Below are 23,708 nucleotides of genomic sequence, written 5' to 3'. Positions count from 1 at the left end.
GAAATCAGTTTGGCATCAAGACAATCAGATCTTCAGGAGAACTGGAGTGTTGTTCAGGATCCCACAGCAGCAGGTGTGCCTTCAGAAGCAGTGCCCACGCTGTGCCCCACGGAGTGACTGTGCCCAAGGCGTGACTCAGTTTCCCAGGGACCCTGCAGCGTCTGCAGCTGCTCCTTGTGCCCCTGCGGCTCTGTCTTCACGCGCCTTCGCCCTGCCTCGTGGCTTCTGCTTACTCACAAGTTTCCCCACTGCCCTTCTCCTGGCTGTCCCTCAGCCGCAGAAGTCCCCTCCATGTGTCTCTCCTCCTGCCAGCTCCCACAGGGCTGCCTCAGACAGAAGAGGCTCCCAGGCCTGGTCAGGGGTGGGGTCACAGGTACGCAGCGGGGTCACTGCGTTCAGGAAACTGCCAGGGGCTGGTGTTCTCGGAGAGGAGCCGCAGCTGGGCAGCCACTCAGCACACATCCTGTCCAGTTACGGGCCCTTTGTATAGATGAGGAAATGGCCCCCTTGGAAGATTCAGTATTGACGAGCCGCAGAGCAGCCATCACATCACACTGTGCTCTGGTGTCTCCAACCCCGTCACACTCCTCTGCTTCCTGTTTCTGTTCACCCACGCAGGATGCCGAGGGAAGCGGGGCTTCTCCTGCCTCTACCTGCCTTCAGCCCCTGTTCTGACATGACCTGAGTGCCACCCATCAAAAGACCCGTCCACCCCAAAACATCCCCAACCCACATCCCACTGCTAGTCCCTGATGAATTAGACAGTGAAGGCCTGATCTCCCCGAGACCCCAGTGAGCCCGCCATTGGCATGACGGTCAGATGAGTCCTGGGACAGTGGGAGGGCAGGCGCCAGGCTCAGGAAACGGAGGAGCAGCAGGAGAGGTGCTCCCATGTGGCACAGTTCAGAGGCGGGAGCCTGGGGTGCCAGTGAGAAACAAGGCAAGGTCTCCACTTTAACCTCTCACCTAGGACTCCCAGTGTGCAGCTGATCAGGTTTTTGGGCCCTGAACTGGAACATACCATTTTTAGACAGTGAGATAAAGATTCAAAATCAGGACTGCCCTGGAAAATCCAAGACCTATTGTGGTGTTCAGGTTGGGTGTTGTGTGGTTGGGTCAAACTTCATTTGAGAGCTTCAGTCAACCACAGGTGGCTGGGGCCCAGGAAGGAGGCGGCTCTTGCAAACAGATAAGGGCCACACTGGTGAGAGGCGCTCTCCCCAGAGCAGTAGGCCCCAACTGCTCACAGTTCCTGTGGTAAACTCGGTTCACTTGTGAAGATCAGGAGAGACAGGACCCATTACCTCCTCCTTGTGAAGATCAGGAGAGACAGGACCCATTACCTCCTCCTTGTGAAGATCAGGAGAGACAGGACCCATTACCTCCTCCTTGTGAAGATCAGGAGAGACAGGACCCATTACCTCCTCGTGAAGATCAGGAGAGACAGGACCCATTACCTCCTCCTTGTGAAGATCAGGAGAGACAGGTCCCATTACCTCCTTGTGAAGATCAGGAGAGACAGGACCCATTACCTCCTCCTTGTGAAGATCAAGAGAGACAGGACCCATTACCTCCTCCTTGTGAAGATCAGGAGAGACAGGACCCATTACCTCCTCCTTGTGAAGATCAGGAGAGACAGGACCCATTACCTCCTCCTTGTGAAGATCAGGAGAGACAGGACCCATTACCTCCTCCTTGTGAAGATCAGGAGAGACAGGACCCATTACCTCCTCCTTGTGAAGATCAGGAGAGACAGGACCCATTACCTCCTCGTGAAGATCAGGAGAGACAGGACCCATTACCTCCTCCTTGTGAAGATCAGGAGAGACAGGTCCCATTACCTCCTTGTGAAGATCAGGAGAGACAGGACCCATTACCTCCTCCTTGTGAAGATCAAGAGAGACAGGACCCATTACCTCCTCCTTGTGAAGATCAGGAGAGACAGGACCCATTACCTCCTCCTTGTGAAGATCAGGAGAGACAGGACCCATTACCTCCTCCTTGTGAAGATCAGGAGAGACAGGACCTATTACCTCCTCCTTGTGAAGATCAGGAGAGACAGGACCCATTACCTCCTCCTTCTCTCCACCACGCATCTTCCTCCTGTGTCCCCTCAGCCACTGAAGGTTTCAATGTGCCCTGATTTGTCCTCTCTTCCCAGTTGTCTGTATACAAAGTGCCCAGCTATTCCTCCCACTTTGCAGATGGAGAAATGGAGGCCTTAAGGCAGTGAGAAAGTTTTCCATGATGATGGTTAGACAGTGAGATTCAAAGATTCAAAATCAGGACTGCCCTGGAAACTCCAAGACGTCTTGTGGTGTTCCGGTTGGGTGAATACTTTCCAAGAGCACATGTGGAGGCTGAACAGGATTCCACTGAAAGCTGCTGTCATTTAAGAATCAGTCAGGCTGGGAACGGTGGCTCACGCATGTAATCCCAGCACTTTGGGAAGCTGAGGTGCATGGATCACCTGATATCAGGAGTTCAAGACCAGCCTGGCCAACATGGCGAAACCCTGTCTCTATTAAAAATACAAAAATTGGCTGGGCGTGGTGGCTCACGTCTGTAATGGCAGCACTTTGGGAGGCTGAGGTGGGTGGATCATGAGGTCAGGAGATCGAGACCATCCTGGCTAACATGGTGAAACCCCATCTCTACTAAAAATACAAAAAATTAGCCCAGCGTGGTGGTGGGTGCCTGTAATCCCAGCTACCAGCGAGGCTGAGGCAGGAGAATTGCTTAGACACAGGTTACAGAGGTTGCAGTGAACCGAAATCGCACCACTGTACTCTAGCCCGGGCAACAGAGTGAGACTCCATTTCAAAAAAAAAAAAGAATCAGTCAGTTGGTCATATCTATCCCCAGGAAGATACTGTGCCTTGTGTCCAGGGCTTAGTTGACAGCTGTGAGAATCAAAATACAAAAAAGATGAAAATTTCTGCTCCGGACAGATGTGGTCTAGTTGCGGAGGTAAAACAGGAAAGCAGAGAATTAGGGACTGAAATTCAACCTGAGCTTGGGTCCCCAAGCTGTATGCCCTGGTCAAAGGCTGGAAGAGCCACCTTTTTTTTGTTGTTTTTTTTGTTTTTTGTTTTTTTTTTTTTTGAGACAGAGTCTCCCTTATGTTGCCAGGCTGGAGTGCAGTGGAGCTATCTTGGCTCACAGTAACCTCCACCTCCCAGGTTCAAGCAATTCTCCTGCCTCAGCCTCCTGAGTAGCTGGGATTACAGGCACCTGCCACCACGCCTAGATAATTTTTGTATTTTTAGTAGAGACGGGGTTTCACCGTGTTGGCCAGGATGGTTTCGATCTCCTGACCTTGTGATCTACCCGCCTCAGCCTCCCAAAGTGCTAGGGTTACAGGTGTGAGCCACCACGCCCAGCAAGAGCCACCTTTTAAAAATCTGCACCAAAGGTGCCATATGGGCTAGTGGAGACCCTGGGAGAAGTGAGATCCCCCAGGAGGGCCAAGCTAGACAGAGTTCTTTAACCTTAAGACAATTGGCAATAGGAGCTGGGCATGATGGCTCATGCCTATAATCCTAGCACTTCAGGAGGCTGAGGCAGAAGGACTGCTTGAGCCCAGGAGCTTGAGACCAGCCTGGGCAACATAGCAAGACCCTGTCTCTACAAAAATTAAAAACAAAAAACAAAACTCAGCTGGGCATGGTGGTGTATCTGTTGTCCTAGCTACTCAGGTGGCAGAGGTGGGAGGATCGCTTAAGCCCAAGAGTTCGAGGATGCAGTGAGCTATGATCTTGCCACTGCATTCCAGACTAAGTGACACAGCCAGACCCTGTCTCAAAAAAAAAAAAAAAAAAACAAAGAAGGCCGGACGCGGTGGGTCACGCCTGTAATCCCAGCACTTTGGGAGGCCAAGGCAGGTGGATCACGAGGTCAGGAGATCGAGACCACCCGGGCTAACACGGTGAAACCCCGTGTCTGCTAAAAATACAAAAAATTAGCTGGGCGTGGTGGCGGGCGCCTGTAGTCCCAGCTACTCGGGAGGCTGAGGCAGGAGAATGGCGTGAACCCGGGAGGCGGAGCTTGCAGTAAGCCGAGATTGCTCCACTGCACTCCAGCCTGGGCAACTGATGGAGACTCCGTCTCAAAAAAAAAAAAGAAAAAGAAAAAAAAGAAAGTAAAAGACAATAGACAATACTGAGCAATCGTGTGTTACGGAGCTACCCAGTACAGAAAGCAGGGCTGTGGGAAGGTCGGTAGTAAAAGGAGCTGCAAGATGGACTGGAGAGGGAGAGGCAGGAAGGAGGCTCTGCTACAGTCCGCAGCCAATGCAGTGATGGTGGAGACAGCACAGAGCTGGGAATGACAATGAGGTTACCTCTTTCCTCCAGCCCAGGCCATCACATACCTTTATGGTACAACGCTTAGCCTGGTTATAATTGAACATCCTTATGTGTGGTATCTGATAAATGCCTGTCCTCTGCTCACTCCACCCTCACCCCCCTGGCAGACTGAATACTTCATGAGGGCAGGGGTGGTATCTAATTTGTTCTCTTGTGTCCCAAGCACGTAGTAGCCTCTCTATAAATGATTATTAAGCAAATGACGGAAAGAAAGACAGAATGAATGCATGAGTGAATAAATGACCAGTCACCATACAGAGTATTTTGATGAAGGGATTTTATATTCCCTTCCAGTTTCCAGTTCCCACTTTCTTGCTGGCTGAAATGATACACTTTGCTTTTCTCTTTCTCTCGGATTTCAAAGGTAGAGTAATAGTAGATACCACTTTAGGAAAAAAGAGTGGTATTCCTCTGGGATATGTTTTCTTTTTTTCTTTCAGTTTCTGATCGTAAGAATAAAACATGGTCATTATAGAAAATTTAAAATGTAGGAAAAAAAACCACAATGAAGCTGGAAAAAACCACGCAGGAAGAGGCTCCCTTGACCGGCTTGTTGGCATAGGACTCTCCAGGACTCTGACACACTCAGGGGTAAATAGGACTTCAAGGATGTCCATGTGAGGACTCCTCAGGCCTCTGTCCCAGCTGCCTTATTTCTCAAGGATACCAAGGAGACAGTCCCCTACCCTTCTCCTCTCTCTCTGGCCTAGGGCTTTCCCAAGGCCTTGGAGAGCTTTGGAAAGGCTCGTTCTTCCACTTCATAATGAAATGATGAAATGCCTTTGGACCTGAGTCTTTCACCTGTAGCTTGGCAGCCATGTTTTCCTACTAAATGGATATCAGGTGCATGGGTGTTTGGGATTATATTAATCCCTTTTCCAACATTTCGTAGTCCCCTGGTTTTCTTGAAACTTTCAAACAGTTGAATCAGCCATCAGCCTATCACTAAAATGAGCTATGAGATTTCTTCAAAACCTAAGCTGTCATAGGTTTTTATAACTTTGGCATTTTCAGGATTATGCTAGTTCCTTCTGAGTCTCTCCTGGGAATAACACTGGTACTTTGGAAACTATAGAGGTATAGGCAGGGATGGAAAGAGGTTTCTTCTGCATGCCCAATCTGCAATTGGCAATATTATAGCAGCCCCAGGAGCTCTGTTAAGAAGGATTCTGAGACCATGTCCAAGCTCAGTGGGAAAAAGTGATGTGGTTGATTAGTGATGTCTGCTGGGGGGATAGCATGGGAATGGGGGAATGGAAGCTCTTATTGCCATCCCTGAATATAAGAAATCTAAGCCTTCAAGGAGCTGCATGATTTCTATGGGAAAGACAAGTTAAATTCAAAGTCAAATGACATATGCTAAGTGGTACATGTGAGTGGTACTATAGGAGTTCCGCAAGAAGAAATCAAAATGGGCTGGAAGATTTTTGGAAAAAAGGGATATGAGCTGGTCCTGAGTGGAATCTAGACAATGGCTGAGCAGGGAGGAAATGAGAGCACACTCCAGACTAAGGAAAGAATTTAAGGAAAGAACAATCATGTCACGTTTCAGGGCACTGGGAAGAGAGCAGCCTCTTTAAAGTAGACATAACACTTTAGAATGTGTGTAGCTTGAATTTATTTGGTAAGTTAAATCATATCAAGGAGAGAGTAAAAATTCATTTAAACTTTTAAAAGTGATGATGACCATTTTTAAACTGGTGAAATGTTTAAAGATAGAGAGGAAAATCACAAAGAATGACATAACAAACACCTATTCTTCACAGTTTACATTTTTTCATATTTGCCTCCGGCCTCTTTCTGTTTTTAAAGAAATAAAATATTACAGATAAAACTTCAGTCCTTCTAACTACTACCCGCTCATCTCCCCAGAAACACCCACTGTCAGAAAAGTGAAGGTTTTCCTTCTATCTAATTTAATTCTATTTAATTTCATACTGACCTCTCTACACACAGAAATTTCTGGACTCCTTTTCATCCGTTTATTTCCAATAACTAATAGTAATTCTCTACTTCAAATCAGCTCAACCACATGCTCCCCTTGCCAGCCACTTCTCTTAAGCCATTTTCTCTAGAACCCCTTAGGATCCTCCTGCCAATCCCATCTCTACCCCTTACATACTCCTGCCCCCTCCCCAAAATATGCTGCCTCTCCTTCCTCTCCTTTCTTTCAGAATATTTTTTTTCTTTTGTTTTTTTGTTTTTTAGACAGAGTTTCGCTCTTTTCTACCAGGCTGGAGTGCAATGGCGCGATCTCGGCTCACTGCAGCCTCTGCCTCCCGGGTTCAAGCGATTCTCCTGCCTCAGCCTACCGAGCAGCTGGGATTACAGGCACCAGCCACCATGCCTGGCTAATTTTTGTATTTTTAGTAGAGACAGGGTTTCACCATGTTGGCCAGGATGGTCTCGAACTCCTGACCACGTGATTCACCCACCTTGGCCTCCCAAAGTGTTGGGATTACAGGGGTGAACCACTGCACCTGCCCCAGAATAAATCTTATACTTTTCTTTCTTCCCTTCCTCCAAGGCCCACTCCATGTGATCTTTCCCTTATTTTGAACTCCCTAAATGCTGGTATATTGGATCTGGCCTATATGTCTACTCACCTTATGAGCTGAATATTTTCTCTTTTATTAATGATGTAGGTGAATTAGAGAATAACTGTCTGAGAGGAGAGCCCACCTCTTCTCTTGTATCCATCATAATCCACAGCACAGGGCTAGACTTAAAATAGGAGCTCAACAATTGCTGAATCATGAACAAAGCCATTCCGAAAGGTTTTTCTATGTCACATGTCAGAGACTGATAACTCTCTCCCTTTTTCTATACTGTAGAAGGGGTACTTCACTTGGGGTCTACAGATTTCAAAGGCTTTGTCAACAGCACCACTTATCAGTATAATTGGATTCCTTTGTAATCTTATGTATTTTATTTTATTCACTTAAAAACATTATTTTAAGAAGGAGTCCATAAGCTTCAGCAGACTGCCAAAGGGGTTCATGGTACCAAAAAAGGCTAAAAATCCCTGCACTCCAATATTTAACTGGGCACATTGCTGCCAAGGATAGAGATCACACTCCTCAGTCTAACGTGACAAGTGTGGTGTTATGCAATTTCCCTGAAGAGTCCTTATTTATTTATTTATTTATTTATTTATTTATTTAGAGATGGCTTCTCACTCTGTCGCACAGGCTGGAGTGCAGTGGCATGATCTCAGCACACTGCAACCTCCGCCGCCCAGGTTCAAGCAATTCTCCCTGCCTCAGCCTCCTGAGTAGCTGGGATTACAGGTGTGCGCCACCATGCCTGGCTAATTTTTATATTTTTAGTAGAGATGGGGTTTCACCATGTTGGCCAGGCTGGTCTCCAACCCCTGACCTCAGGTGATCCACCCACCTCAGCCTCCCAAATAGCTGGGATTACAGGCATGAGCCACCGTGCCTGGCCTGAAGAGTCCTTCAGAAGGGAGGAGTAGGCTGGGCGCGGTGGCTCATGCCTGTAATCCCAGCACTTTGGGAGGCTGAGGCAGGCAGATTATGAGGTCAGGAGATCGAGACCATCCTGGCTAACACGGTGAAACCCCGTCTCTACTAAAAATACAAAAAATTAGCCGGGCGTGGTGGCGGGCGCCTGTAGTCCCAGCTACTCGGGAGGCTGAGGCAGGAGAATGGCATGAACCCAGGAGGTGGAGCTTGCAGTGAGCCGAGATTGTGCCACTGCACTCCAGCCTGGGAGACAAAGCGAGACTCCATCTCAAGGGAAAAAAAAAAAAAAAAAGAAGAAGAAGAAGAAGGGAGGAGTATATCCTTCTTTCTCTCTTCATTCTCTCTGCCTTCTGGACTGCAGACATAATGGCTAGAGCTCCAGTAGCTATCTTGAGCCTTGGAAATGGAAGCCATAGAAAACAGTGCAACAAGATAGAAGACCTGGTTCCCTGACACCATGGAGGGCTGCACCAGCCCTGAGCTGGCTACCTCCAGATTACTTAAATCTGAGAAGGAAATAAACTCCTATTTCACTTTAGCTACTGTTACTCTGGGCTTCATTGTTACTTACCATCAGCTTGAAATCAAACGAATGCAACAAGCCTTTCTGAAGATACATTGAAAAGGGTCTTGTTTATCTAAAGAGTTTTCAGAAATCATCCCTCATTCTAGAGAAAGAATCATTTCCAACCTAGACGATGATTCTTTTCATGCCTTACCTTGTATTAAGCATTTAAACAAAACTGAATTGTGTGGGAACATATTTTATTCAGAGTTTCCATTTTTGATACAACTAATGAACTTAATAGCTTTATGAAACTCTCATTTTTTCAGCTACTTCTTCAGTCTACTTTCATGTCCCCTAAAGATAGAGAACGTTATGAGTGGCCTGGCTTTGTGCCCACCAGCTCTTAATTTATGACAGTGATGCTTTTAAAAATGCATCTTAAGCATTTTACAAACCAAATAGTAAAGATTATTCTGGCATGCCCATTGCATTATTATTATTGTTATTATTAATATTATTATTGTTATTATTATTTTCAGACAGGGTCTTGCTCTGTCACCCAGGCTGGAGTGCAGTGGCACAATCTCGGCTCACTGCAACCTCTACCTCCTGGGCTCAAGCGATCCTCACACCTCAGCCTCCCTCCTCAGCCACCATGCCCAGCTAATTTTTTTATTTTTTGTAGAGACGATGTCTTGCTAGGTTGTCCAGGCTGGTCTCGAACTCCTAGGCTCAAGTGATCCTCCAGCCTCAACCTCCCAAAGTGCTGGGATGACAAGTGTGAGACACTGTGCCTAGTCCTATTATATTACTGATGGATTCAGAATATATGTATGATATAATAACCATCAATAACACACTTTTTTTAAAGGATGCTATGGTTCCTGAAAGGTATAAAATAGCAGCTTCTGTCCTAAAAAGTATTATTATTTGTTGGGGCAATACGTACATGAAAGGATAAGTAGCATACAACGTGTTTATTAAGCATGATACAATCAGCAAGTGATAGGTAATTCAGAAGTGGAGGAAGGACAGGGTATGATAAAAGCAAAGGAGGAAAGACAACCATGAAGACTAGAGAAATGAAGGGAATGGGTAGATCAGTTGGCTGGGACGGAAGTCTGTTAAGTTCTTCCTGCCTCCTCTGGGTAGAATTACTGCATCTTCCCCACTGTGTTTCCACATTGCTTTCTGAATGCTTCTAATATCACACATAGTACAGGAGGGTGATGATACCATGAACTCTCTTATAGAGAGCCATTCTCATTTTTATAAGCCTCATACCTACCAGAGCTCCAGAAACATTTGTTATGTGGACTCCTAAAGGTCTAATGAGGCCAGGCGCAGTGGCTCACACCTGTAATCCCAGCACTTTGGGAGGCCAAGGTAGGCGGATCACTTGAGGTCAGGAGTTCAAGACCAGCCTGGCCATATGGTGAAACCCCATCTCTACTAAAATACAAGAATTAGCCAGGCATGGTGGTACTCAGGAGGCTGAGGCAGGAGAATCACTTGAACCTGGGAGGCGGAGATTGCAGTGAGCCAAGATCATACCACTGCACTCCAGCCTGGGTGACAGAGCAAGACTTCCTCTCAAAAAACAAAAATAAATAAATAAGTAAAAGTCTGATGAATGAATATCATTTCTGATGAGTGCATATACTACATCTTTAAACAAATCATCCCCATCTATATTTTCCTTAAAATTACGTAAACAAATCCTGTTTATTGTAGAATGGTTCTAAAATACTTAGATAAACATAAAAACGGGAGTTAAAGCCCACATCTTAATATTTTCAGCATCCACAGATAAGACACAATCACCATGAATATTTTACTGCCCACCTTCCCCATCACACAGATAGTTTTCACTTTTTAAAGTCTGTCCTGGAAACCTGGATCTGCCTAATTTCTCTGAAATGGCTGTTCCAATATTTGTAGGATGTAGTGAATATATACATATAAATTTCAGAGTGTCCCGACTCAAGCTGGCTGAGCATGAACCCAGAAGCTAAGGCAGGCAGCAAGTTGGTGAAGTTAATCAAGTCCTGATTCAGCCCTTGTTGCATCAAAGACACGGTAACTCCAAGAGCAGTTAGTGCTTTACAGGTATGGTAAGTCCCCACTGAATGTCAGATGGGTTCTCAGAAACTACAACTTTCAGTGAAATGATGCATAATGAAAGCAATTTTCCCACAGGCTAATAAGAGTAAAGTTCCTCCGTTATATTTCTGGTCATAAAAATGTCACCAAACTTGTAAATAGAGACCCAAAACACTTCTACTATTAACCACATGAAATAAATATGAGGTATATATGTATGTATATATGAAAAATTAATCAAAATGAGTACGATTTTTACCCAACTTTGGAAAATAAGTAATCAATGAGTGACAATGGTCGTGGTTGGTGGTGGGTTACACCAATGAATAAATGTTTGCAAAGGGAAAATTTTTGGGACCATCTCTGACCACCATGAAGTTCAAAAAGAAACGGTAACGAATACGGTGGCTTGTTGAGCATTTTTGTACTATGTTTTTTATTGTCTTGCATTTTTATGATTATTGTCTACTTTACAGATTTTTATTGGACAATAATTTGTATTCATTCATTCATTAATTTTCCAGCCTGCTTATTCCACTTCAAGGTCAGAGGTGACCAGAGTCCATCCCAGGAGCTCAGAGCACAAGGTGGGAATCAACCCTGGACAGGGCACCATTCCTTCCCTGGCACAATCACACTTACACCCACTCTTACTCACACTGGGACCACATAGACACACCAATGAACCTCGTGTGCACAGCTTTGGGATGTACAAGGAATCCGGAGTGCCTGGAGAAAACCTGCGCAGACATGCGGAGACAGTAAACTCACACAGACGGTTACCCCAGCTGGGAATCTATTTTTTCTCTTATCACTGTTGTAATGCAACAACATTGAATGAAACAACATTATTTGAGGATCTGCCAGAAGGGTTCTGAGTGGAGAGAATGGAGGAGACTCTCTTCAGAGAGCTTAAAGAATAACTCATCACAAGATTCACAGGCAGCCACTCCTGAGGTTCCATTGTGAAACACTATCATTTCATTGGCTCCTTTTATTTAAAATAATTATAGGGGTGAAATTCAGATAACATAAAATTAAGCATTTTGAAGTGAACAATTCGGTAGCATTTAGTAATTCACAATGCTATGCCACCTCCTCCTCTCTCTAGTTCCAAATAAAATTTGGAACTAGATAAATTAGTTCCTCCAAAATAAAATTCCATACCCATCAGCAGTTTCTCCTCATTTTCCCCTTTCCGCATCCTCTGGCAACCCCAGCCTGTGTTCGGTCTCTATGGATTTAGCTATTCTAAATATTTCGGGTACATGGGACCAAACAATACGTGACCTTTTGTGTCTGGCTTCTTTCATGTAGCAGAATGCCTTCAAGGTTCGCCCACATCATAGTGTGTGTTAGTACTTCCATTTTATGGCTGAAATATATTCCATCGTATGCTTATAACACAATTTGTTTATTCTTTCATCCATTGATGGACATCTGGACGATCCCTTTACTTTCACTAAGGCCTCTGTAAAAGGAAATATTTGCAGATCTGGAAATTTATAGACTGGGCCTCATAAATAGGGGGCAGTGGTTCATTTGGGGGTCACCATGTCAGATTGTATCATCCTCAATTTGGGGGTGTCTAGTGCACTTAAGTGCTCTTAGGGCTACAAATGATGGGACTCAGAAAAACTCATAAACTCCATATTTGCGTCTCAACTTTAAAACAACTAAGTGAGACAATCAGGACAGAAGAAATTGTCCCATTTTATAGATGTGAAACCTGAATTCCAGAGACTAGAAGTTAAATACCCTGGCTGGGAAGTGTTAAGAGTCAGGGGACGCCCCCAAGCCTTCTGACCAAACACAGCCCCTGCCTCCTTTAAACAGTTATCATTGACAATAACTGCATTGAAAGACACAGACTCGGGTAGGAGGGAGACTTGTGTGTCAGGAATAAATTTAGTGGTGAATAAATGGAAGTGAACAATTGCAAGTCTATGAGAGCAGGAATGAGACTGGTGCCCAAAGACAGAGAAGGCTTTTCTTGACCTAAACACTCCATCCTCATTGTCCTCCATCTACTGCCCACACAGCAAGGCATTTGACCAGCAATTCACATTTCTTCTCTATGGATCCTGTTTCCTGAAAACCTGGGAAGGTGGCTTCCTTGGATATGGTGGGCATAGGGTGGGCATAGGGTGGGCAGAGAATGTTTGGTATGGGAGGCAGGCAATATACCGCCTCCCTACATGTAGAGGTACTTTGGCAATCCCTGTGGAATGAATGAATGAAGATGGTTCAAAGCACTTTTGAAACCTTTGCATTGAAAACAAAAGCAAAAATCTCTATCAAACTGGCCATCAATAGTTCAATGTCTGTGCCTTTCCCCCTCCTCCAGGGAGGAAGGGGAGCAGAACTTTCTTATGTAAACTAGTTAGGGTGAGGCTATCCTGCTGTACCAAAGAGGCCCCAACATGCCAGTGACTTAGAACAGACAGTTTCAATCTCTCTCATGTGTAGTTCCAGGTGAGCGTTCCACGCTGGTATGAAGCTCTGCTCTGCCTGGTCATTCTGAGACCCTGCTTCTTTCCAAGTCACTGCTCTGTGACACCATTGTCACTTGCATGTCAAAGCTTGGTTGCAGCCAGGCATGGTGGCTAACGCCTGTAATCCAAACACTTTGGGAGGCTGAGGCAGGTGGATCACCTGAGGTCAGGAGTTTGAGTCCAGCCTGGCCAACATGGCGAAACCCCATCTCTACTAAAAATACAAAAATTCGCCAGGCATGGTGGCATGTGCATGTAATCCCAGCTACTTGGGAGGCTGAGACAGGAGAATCACATGAACCCAGGAGGCAGAGGTTGCAGCGGGCTGAGATAGCACCACTGCACTCTAGCCTAGGCAACAGAGCAAGGATCCATCTCAAAAAAAAAAAAAAAAAAAAAAAAAAAAAAGGCTTGGTTGCTGCAGGTTCCAACTGTCCAGCTGGAGAAAAGAGAACAAAAGCATGAAGGAGGAATGCTCATTCTTTTAATGCCAGTAAGAATTATGCATATAATTTCTGCTCATATTCTATTGGCAAGAACTTTGTCACATAACCATACTACTATTACTGCAATGAAGGCAGGACAATGTAGTCTACCTGTGTGCCCTAGAAGAAAGGGAGAATTGATTTTGCATTTCCCTCACCACCTACATGCTTGCAGTTTATTTTTAGAAAGTAGCATAGAAGCCTCACATCCATGCCCAGATAGAAGGGCCTCTCTATTTAGCTGGCATTTTTTTCCCTGGCCTGCCCAGCCCCACATGGAAGGGAGTCAACTTTGAAGGGTAAAGATGAGCACAGACTTTTGCTTGGGAAGAAGGACCCCTCAGTCTGGAAAGGTGAAAGACGGAGGGAAAACCATTGAGACTGATGAAATCAAACACAGATGGTCTGTGTACAATGAACGCTCAATCCCTACAGGGTTATCTCCTCTGACATTTGAAAAAAAATGTATTAATAAATTTAAGACAAGATGCTCAGCTTCACATAGCGGGCAATAAAAGTGTGGAGTTTTTAGAAAAGTTTCTAACAACACAGGGATTGACCGTTCAACTTGACTTCAGGGAGTATACCAATGGCCCCTAACACACACACACAGACACACACACACCACACACACAGACACATACCACCACCACTATCATCCACTATATCCCTTTGGGGTGGGTCCCTAGTAACAAATAGGGGATGGGGACGAGGCTGGCCCAACTTTTGCCTAGGTACCCATCAAGAACCTTGAACCAAGCCCAAGCCCTGACTGCCCAGGAGCAAGCCGGCCTTAAATGGCATTCATTGATGTCACAGCCACCTGCAACAAGAGCTCTTTCCTGGGTACTTAAAATGACACCAGGAAGCTTTTCGGGAAGAAAAAACTGTCAAGTGGCAAATGAAACCCGTCGATGGCTATCTTCATAATTTGGAGACTCTCAAACGGAAAACCATTTTTTTTTTTTTTGAGATGGAGTCTCGCTCTGTCGCCCAGTCTGGAATACAATGGCGCCATCCCGGCTCACTGCAAGCTCCGCCTCCTGGGTTCACGCCATTCTCCTGCCTCAGCCTCCCGAGTAGCTGGGACTACAGGCGCCCGCCACCACGCCTGGCTAATTTTTGTATTTTTAGTAGAGACGGGGTTTCACCTTGTTAGCCAGGATGGTCTCGATCTCCTGACCTCGTGATCCGCCCACCTCGGCCTCCCAGAGTGCTGGGATTACAGGCCTGAGCCACCGCGCCTGGTAGAAAACCATTTTTTTAATCTTTCTCCCTGGCAGGGCCGTGGACCACGGAGGCTTCCTTCCCCAAGGCCAGCAGCAAGACAGCTTCACCTCTCTATTGTGATTAGGGCTCCCGCGATGCTAAGGACTCGCCCCGGATATCAAAGCCCCTCTCAGACCATGTGGGCCCGCAAGGCAAGGTCCAGATTACTTCCTTTGATTTTCCAGAAGCTTAGCTGCTGAGACACAGTGGAAATTTTGATTGCATTTTCCACACCTTCCGGTTCATCTCACCCCTAAGTAGGTGCTATGGATTATTTCAACAGTGTCAGATGGGAAATAAATTCTCATGCAAGCAAAAGGCCACAAACACGAGGGCTTGGGGGTGGGGTGGAGGGAGAGGAGAGGAGAGGGAAATGAGAAATTTGATGCTGACATATTGCAGGCTAAAGAAACATCTTTTGCTCTTTTCCTGCCCTAAGAATAAAAACTCCCTGATAGGGCTGCACTCCTCTTCCCTATTAAGGAGATGTGGTTTGGGCTAGAGGAACAACTGTTCCCAATAAACAGGTGGGCAGCCCGGCTTTCCCTTTCTTTTCCTTTGGAAGTCATATTCGCTCTTGTTTGTGGCCCTAGAAATCCTCCCTACCACGGATTACACTTTGTTTGAATTAATAAAGCCTCATGGGGTTTATTGCTGTTTTTAGGGCCCAGCCCCTTATTTGGCTTTGGCAAAGGACACTTCCCTGCTGATTCATAGCGCTCCTATTGTACAGGGCACATAGAGGAGAGAAGGACGTGAGAGGCTGTGGACCAGGGGACAAAAGACTCAAACAATAACACAAAGGCATGGGATGAGTGTGTGTGTGATGATCTCTGTTCCTGTGTGATTAAGCACAGCCGCTTGTGTGAATATAGTTGGCTATTGTTTTGATGAGAAGGGCCTTTTGGAGCCTGTTTATCCCATTAGATGTCACTAATATAAAAAAAGACAGGGTGGTAATAATGGGAAACTTTGTGGTCAGATAAACTTGGGTTCAACTGTTGGCTCCCCCACCTATTGGCTGTGTGCCCCATTATTTAACCTCTTTGAGCCTCAGTTTCTTCACTTGCAAAATCAGATGAAGAACATTATAGGAGACCGGACGCGGTGGCTCACGCCTATAATCCCAGTGCTTTGGAAGGCCAAGCCAGGAGGATCACTTGAGGCCAGGAGTTTGAGACCAGCCTGGGCAACACAGAAAGACCCCGTCTCTACAAAAAATAAAAATAAAAATAAATTAGCTGGGTGTGGTGGCACATGCTTATAGTCCTGGCTACTTGGGAGGTGGAGGTGGGAGGATTGCTTGAGCCCGGGAGTTTGAGGTTGCAGTGAGCTGTGATCACCCCACTGTTCTCCATCCTCAGTGACAGAGCAAGACCCTGTCTCAAAAAGCAAGAACAACAACAACAAAAACCTCACTATGGGAGGTAGATGGCTAATGGAACATGGCAGTGTGGAGAGGGGTCACTAGGGAGAGGCTGGTTTGGTAGCCAGCAGGAAGCCTCTCAGGGCCACAGTTAACTTGGCAAATTTGTCACGGTTGGGTTTAGTCATGCAGGCTCAGGAATCTGATGTCTCACACCATGAGGGTGACCATTTTTTTCAGGGTCCAATTAACATTAACCTGGCTTATAGAGACTGACGTACAAACCAAAGTGCCCAGTCACTGATTCAAAGCAAGAAACCAAGTCACTCAGAGGACCAGAGACTCCCTTCCCCAGTCAGGGCATTCCAAGTCAATGGGTGAGTATGTGGGAAGCTTGGCTAAGGAACAAGGGAAACTGATTAAATTGATTAAATAAATGGTCTATTATCTGCTTACTCCTTTAGCCCATCTCCCGGGATTCTCCTGTTCCTCACACCACAGTTGCACCAGGGAGCTTGCTTTTCTGAGAATGTGCCACATTCTCCATTATGCACATTTGTTGGGTCCCCACCCGGCATTCTTTCCTCTCCTAACAAACAATGCTCAACTTTTTCTCCTGGCATCTTACACACACACACCATGAGCTTCAGGGACACTGATTTCACTCCCAGCTCCTGCTCCAGGGTGGCAAAAAGAAAAAAAAAAAAAGAAAAAAAGAAAGAGTCCATTACAAACTCCATGCCTCAGGTAAACCACCAATCAGGGCCAGATATGTGACTTCATTTGACCCAGTCAGGGTGGCTCTCAGGGATCTTATTGGAACTATGGGGAGAGTGCTCTGTCTTCCTTTGACCTGTGCAGCATGTGGATTTTCTTCTGAAACAGCTGCAGCCAATTTGCCTCAGTGAGGAAAGATGAGGATGACACTGACACACAGAGGAAGGCCAAGCCCAGAAAATCATAAAATAGGTCTGAAGTCCTGATCAAGCCATGCCTGAAGCCTGCATGATTCCTCTGGAAACATTGTTCTCAATTTGGGGTTGGGGGTAGGTAGACAGTACTGCCCCTTGGGGCATTTTGGAAATGTAAGGGGTTCTTTTGTTTGTCATGGTGACTGGGAATGTTACTGCCATTTAGTCTACAGTCAGGAATGTTAGACGTTCTACAATGTGTGGCAGAGAACTGTCCACAGTCCTGCCAGACTTGTGTATGTCTTACCCAACATCAATGTTGGTGTGCACACTGCATCAGGAACTGGAATCAAAGTCTGGTAGGCAGAATCATGGCTCCCAGAGACGTCCACGTTCTCACCCAGAATCTGTGAATGGTACCTTTCCGTGGCAATGGGGACTTTGCACAGATGTGACTAGGGATCTTGAGAGCAGTCATTGTCCTGGATTATCTGTTTGGGCCTGATGTAATCACAGCACTCCTCAAAGAAGGGACACAGGAGAAATCAGAGTCAGAGGAGAAAGTGATATGGTGAGAGAAACAGAGATTGGAGTGATGTACTTTGAAGATGGAGGAAGGGGCCCCAAGCCAAGAAACGCAGGCGGCCACTAGAAGTTGAATAAGGTAAGAAATAGGCCTCTCTCCTCAGAGCCTCTGTGAGGGACCAGCCGTGGCAACACCTTGACTTTAGCACAGAAACTGGATTTGGACTTCTGACCTCTAGAACTGTCTGGGAATAAATCTGTGTGGGTTTAAGCCACTAAACTTGTTGTAATTTGTTATAGCAACCACAGGAAACTAATACAAAGTTATGCCTGAAAGACTCAAGGCAGCAGGTTTTGTTTTGTTTTAATGGGAGATGTGTTTATGGGGATGTTTTCCCACTCATCTTGAGGCAGAGTGCATCCAGTGCTGCTTCCTCCTGAGGGATCAGGCTTCTGGAAGTCTTGCTTCTCCTCCTGTGGGCTGGCAGAGGACGGTGGAGAAGCCATCACACAAAACTACTGTTTGTGCATGGCTAACAAATGTGATTTTATAGCATTCTGGGCGTTTCACATCATGAAGTGGGAACTGGGGCTCCGCACCAGGCACTTCTTCTGTTTCCTCTTCCTCTCTTCTGGAAAGGGATGCAGGAGATCTTTTGCAAGGGGCATGTTTTTGTGCGTGGGTCATCACCTCCAGAAAGGCAGCTGATCCATTTGATTGCTATAATTAACTGAGGCTAGCCCCTGGCTCTGTTTTACGTATAGACCCAGCGTGCTTTTTTTCACAAATATAGACAATGTTTTCCAGGGAAGATGGGCTTTACTTTATTCCAAAGTTTACCAAGAGTCATTCCCATTCCATGAGAAAATCACATGAACTATGGCCAAGGCTACTTGGGACCCACCTCCCTGTACTGGCCTGCACTTGTCACAGTCATGCTTATGGGGATTCTGAGTATGGATGTGAACATCTCACCCCTTATGTTGTCTTCTGGAGTAGCTGTACTCAGACATTTACATATTAAAATACACATCATTTTCATCATTTTGTTACAAATATGTTCCTTTCCTTCTTCCTCTGTGACCTCTATGACCTAGTTAGACCCTCATAGTGTTTCTTTTTTCTTTTTCTTTGTGGAAAATATGGATGCCTGTAGGTTATATTATGCACTAATTCCATTTCAGGAGATACAAACTATTTTTTAGAGAGACGGGACTTTAGGTCAGATAGGGCTGATAAATACAGCTCTCAGATGTGGTTGTTGCTGTGAGCACCTCCTATCTGAGTAACTATGTCTCCTCTGGTGACCCTCCTCACCTCTAGGGCTGGCATGATGAGCCCATGCAGTATGTCCTGCCAGTCCCCACTCCCTTGTCTATAACAGATGCCATTAGTTCAGTACAGCACCATTTTCCATTGCAATGGGATTTAGTCTAAAATTTCTTCTCATCAGAATGTTAGAAGCAGCTACCTCCCATAGACAGGAGTTAGTACAGGAGATCACTTACCTGTGAATCCAGAACAGGCAGATCCTTTTGCCTCAACATCCTTCTCTCCTGCCCCAGGGCCATTGCAGGCTTGGCTTAGAACTCTGCCCCTCACCCCCATCCATGAGGCGGGTGACAGGAGCCCCTTCTCCCCGCGCTTGCCTCTCTCGTTGCATGCATCTCACAGTTTGAAAAGTGGCTGTTTTTCGTTTTTCATTTTATTTCTTGAGACAGAGTCTTGCTCTGTCACCCAGGCTGTAGTGCAGTAGCATGATCTTGGCTCACTGCAACCTTGACCTCCTTGGTTCAAGTGATCCTCCCAACTCAGACTCCTGAGTAGCTGGGACTATAAGTGTGCTACCACCACACCCAGCTAATTTTTATTTTTATTTTTTTTATAAAAATCGGCACCATGTTGGCTTGGCTGGTCTCGAATTCCTGGTCTCAAGTGGTTCTCCCACCTTGGCCTCCCAGAGTGCTGAGATTATAGGTGTGAGCCTCTGTGCCCGGCCGAAAGTTACTGTTAATTTCTCTCCCCCTCCAAATGCAAGCTTTTTGAGCACAGAAGCTGTGATACATTCCTTGAGATGAACTCAGCGCCTGATAGGGAGTAGGAGCTCCGTAAATATTTGATAAAATCGGGCAGGCAGATGGACTCAGCCAACATGTGCCATCCAGGTCTCTAGCCCCTGTCCCCTACCAAGATTTATTGATTCCCTTCGACCTTCTGACGGCGATTTTTCATTGAGCTGTGCTCATCTAATTGAGTCGGTCCATTTGTACTGCTCTTAAGGGCCTGAGAGTGAACACATGTCATTCTTGGTTACCCAGCTGCCAAGAACCCCTCCTAGACAGGACAGGTGGGAGGGAAGACACTCCTCCCTTTCTGCGGGTAGAGGAAGTGTGTCACTCAGGACTTCGAACCTGAAAGGAGGGAAACTAGGACGCAGAGCCAGTTAGAGGCAATTAGCAGCAGCTGCAGTGGGACCTGCAGTCTAGTGGTGCGGTGGATGTGTCCAGGGCCACAGCGTCCAGTAGGACAGAGGTGAGCACATCCGGGGACAGGGGAGCAGGAATGAATGTGCAGTCGTGATGATTACAGCAGTGGCCTATGCAGGTGGCTCCTGAGAGGGGGTCTTGTCTAGCCCATGTCTAATTGGGTTCTGTTGGAGCCCGGTTCCCCAGCTCCTTGTCAATTACATGAGTTCCTAGATACCTTTCCAATCAATCCCTGCCCTCACTCCTGTCCCCGATTCCTGCTCCTTTCCCTACAGGCCCCTTCATCCCGTTTCACCCACTAGATCTTCATCCTCACGGCCCCACCCCTTAATGGAATCTACCTGGCTTCCCACCCTGCCCCCAACACACATCAGATCAGTGCCCAGATCTGAGCAGTCACTGGGTCCCCAGTACCCCATCTTTGTAGCTGCACCACGAGGCTTCGCTCAGTTCCAGCAAGGGAGCAAGGGAAGCTGCCCAGCTTCGGGGAGAGCAGGATTGGGATTTCCTTGTTAGTGTTCCCATCCATGAAATCTAGAGAAGCTTTTGGAGTAAGACGCATGTTCATTTTTTACAGGTACATATGTTTCATTTTTATTGTCCAAAACCATATTTAAAGAGGAATTATTTTCCAAGTTTAAAAAGGAGCCCAATCAGCTCTCCTAGCCAGTGAGCCCACATGGCTGGTGAGAAGCAGCTTTGGTTTCTTCTTGCTCTGCCCAAGGGCCTATCTAGATCATAAAAGAGCAACATTAATCTTAAATGACTCCTTGCTTTGTTACCCTGGGAAGGGCTCCAAACTCAATGAAATCCTCCTGCCACGATAACAACAACAATGACCAGGAATGTGCGGTGAGCACTTGCCCAGCACTCAGCTCAGCCTCCCACACATCGCAGAGATGATTTCATTTGCTGTCACAACAATTCCATGTGCTCGGCACAGTCATGCCCTGTCTGTCAACAGGGAAATGGAGGCACTGAGGGACTTTCCCAAGGTCACGTAGCTGGCAATGGCAGTCTTGGACACTAACCCCTAAAGGAAGAAAAAAACAAGGGAAAAGAAGTTGGAAGAATGAGGGAAATGTTATAGACTGGCAGAGTAACAACTCCTGGAAAAAAATTTGGGATTGCCTAACAATCCTGATTTAGAATCTGGAGCAAAGAGGCCATGCAAAGGATTGCATGCCAAACAAAGTACATTTTATGATAATAATTTTTAAAATACTGTGGGTTTTTAAATATAATGATTGGGTGACCAAATAGAACTATCTGTCGTCCTTCCTCCAAAACAATAAGCAAACTTTCTCTTATGAAAAGGGGACTGCAATAACACTTTTTTTCTTCTTTTTGAGACAGGGTCTCATTCTGTTGCCCAGGCTGAAGTGCAGTGGTGCAATCTCAGTTCACTGCAACCTCTGCCTCCTGGCTTCAAGTGATCCTCCCTGCTCAGCCTCCTGAGTAGCGGGGACTACAGGCATGCACTACCCTACCCAGCTAATTTTCGTATTTTTTTGTAGAGGTGGGGTTTGGCCATGTTGCTCAGGCTGGTCTCAAATTCCTGGACTCAAGTGATCTGCCAGCCTCTGCCTCCCAAAGTGCTGGTTTTACAGGCGTGAGCCACCGCACCTAGCCTGCAATAACAATTTAATACAAACACACTATTCTGGAAAAGCACACACAATGTTTCAAAATCCTACTGGAACTTCAGTGATGATGGAGTTAGATTATGATAAGAGCAGAGGAAGAACCATATTACTAGAGGATTTGGTTTGGAGGCCTCCCAGGCGGAGCTCAAGATTGCTGAGCTGTAGGCTGCCGTGGAGCATAACTCTTAGACAGTGCTCTATTCCACCCTGGGCCTGTGCTTTGGAGGGTTCTATATATTAAACATATGCACACCAAAATGCACATGTCAAATAACACAAAGAAGGCTTGGTCACTGGTATTTGGTGCTCAATGCTGGCATAGCCCAACTCGTAGCCCTAAAACATCTGCTCTATTGACTAACACTATTCAGGCCCCAGAGAAATGCTTCTCCATATCTCTTGCTCTATATTTTCAAAACAAAAAAATGACTATATCTGAAAGCCATGGTTTGTTGGTTGTATCACTGCCCAAACTGGGATGGACACTGTTTTTGGGGTGCAGGGAGATCTGAGTAGTGGAAGAAGTTAGATGAAAGACAAATCAGTTAACAAGTTCTTATTCTCAGTGTGAATGCAATGGATTCTTGTACAATGAAGCACCATTCCCCAGTACTGTCAAACATCCATTTTCTTACTTCTCCTTGGATTCCCATATGTGGCTCCAGAGGCCCTCCCTGGTGCAGTACTTGCCACTGCTGCACCAGGGAGGGCCTCTGGCAGCCTTGGATTGTTCTTCAGTATTAAACATCACTCTTCAATTTGTACATACCATCAATTCTCATTATTAGAGGTAGTTATGTTCTAAAAAAAAGCCACCAAGAACACTGAATTAGCAAATAATGAACCATTGTTCCTAAGGGAAATACACGGCTAGGTTCCTGTGAGCATCTGGTCACATTTCATCAACTAATCAATACATAACCTCACTTTATGTGTTATGTGTATATATATATTAGTATATATATGTATATATTATATATACATTTATATATAATAAATATATACTAGTATATTTATATTAGTAAATATATATTAGTATATTGTATATTTTAAAACAAGTAGAAGAGAGGAATTTCAATATTCTCACCACAAATAAATGATAAATGTTTGAAGGGCTGGGTTTGCTATTTAGCCTGATATGGTGATTACACAATGTGTATATGTATTAAAACATCACATTGTGCCTCATAAATATGTACAATTATGTGTCAATTAAAAATGAAATAGGTCAGGCACAAGTGGCTCACACTTGTAATCCCAACACTTTAGGAGGCTGAGGTGAGAGGAATGCTCGAGGCTAGGAGTTTGAGAGCAGGCTGGGCAACATATGGATACCCTGTCTCTTAAAAAAAAAATAATCTAAAATTAGCCAGGCTTGGTAGTGTGCACCTGCAGTCCCAGCTTCTCTGGAGGCTAAGGCAGGAGGATCGCTTGAGCCTAGGAGGTCAAGGCTGCAGCAAGCCATGTCTTGTCACTGCACCCCAGCCTGGGGGACAGAGGAAGACCTTATCTTTAAAAAATAAATAAAATAAAACTTAAAACAAATAAATAAAACATATATATAGTCGATTCATTAACAGTGAGTTCACAGCCAATAGTACTGTAACTCATGCCTGAACGAAGCGTATCTAATAGCCTGTATTCTCTCAGTAAAGCACATGAAAGCCCCTTGCACTTAATGACACTAGATAGCACTTCAGCACCACATTTGGGAGCCATTTCAAACAGTGAGTCAGTGAAAAAATACAAAAATTAAAAAATCATGACACTAAATAGACTGAGGAAAGGACACTTTACGTAGGAGAGCTGAAGCAGGAAGGCAGAGTGTCACGTTGTTTGACCTCAGCTTAGGAATGTTCGGTAGGGTGACACCTTTTTCACTGCTCTGCACATGCCAGCAAATGACCTCCAAAGCACTGAGTGTTGATTACGAGGTGGCAAAGAAATTTTATTAAGGAAGATAATTCATAAATATGGAATCTGTGAATACTGAGGATAACCAGTGTGTGGATCTAGATGCAACTTGTGTGAAATGATATCAACTTTTTATGTTACATTAAT

General features: G+C 45.5%; 1 pseudogene, besides 2 other annotated features; it reads right to left on the bottom strand.

Annotated features, from left to right (window-relative positions):
* Positions 327–376: an enhancer, noted in NCBI's record as "active region_2671". NCBI's record gives its function as "activates an Ori minimal core promoter by ATAC-STARR-seq in GM12878 lymphoblastoid cells {active_cell/tissue: GM12878}" and the evidence as "EXISTENCE:reporter gene assay evidence [ECO:0000049][PMID:35858748]".
* Positions 12,726–12,775: a silencer, noted in NCBI's record as "silent region_1892". NCBI's record gives its function as "represses an Ori minimal core promoter by ATAC-STARR-seq in GM12878 lymphoblastoid cells {active_cell/tissue: GM12878}" and the evidence as "EXISTENCE:reporter gene assay evidence [ECO:0000049][PMID:35858748]".
* Positions 17,939–18,183, bottom strand: RPS27P5 (ribosomal protein S27 pseudogene 5; annotated as a pseudogene).

Source organism: Homo sapiens, chromosome 1, assembly GCF_000001405.40.
Source record: "Homo sapiens chromosome 1, GRCh38.p14 Primary Assembly".
NCBI classification, from domain to species: Eukaryota; Metazoa; Chordata; class Mammalia; order Primates; family Hominidae; genus Homo; species Homo sapiens.
The sequence above is the reverse complement of the archived record's forward strand: the minus strand, read 5'-3'. Positions and strand labels throughout refer to the sequence as shown.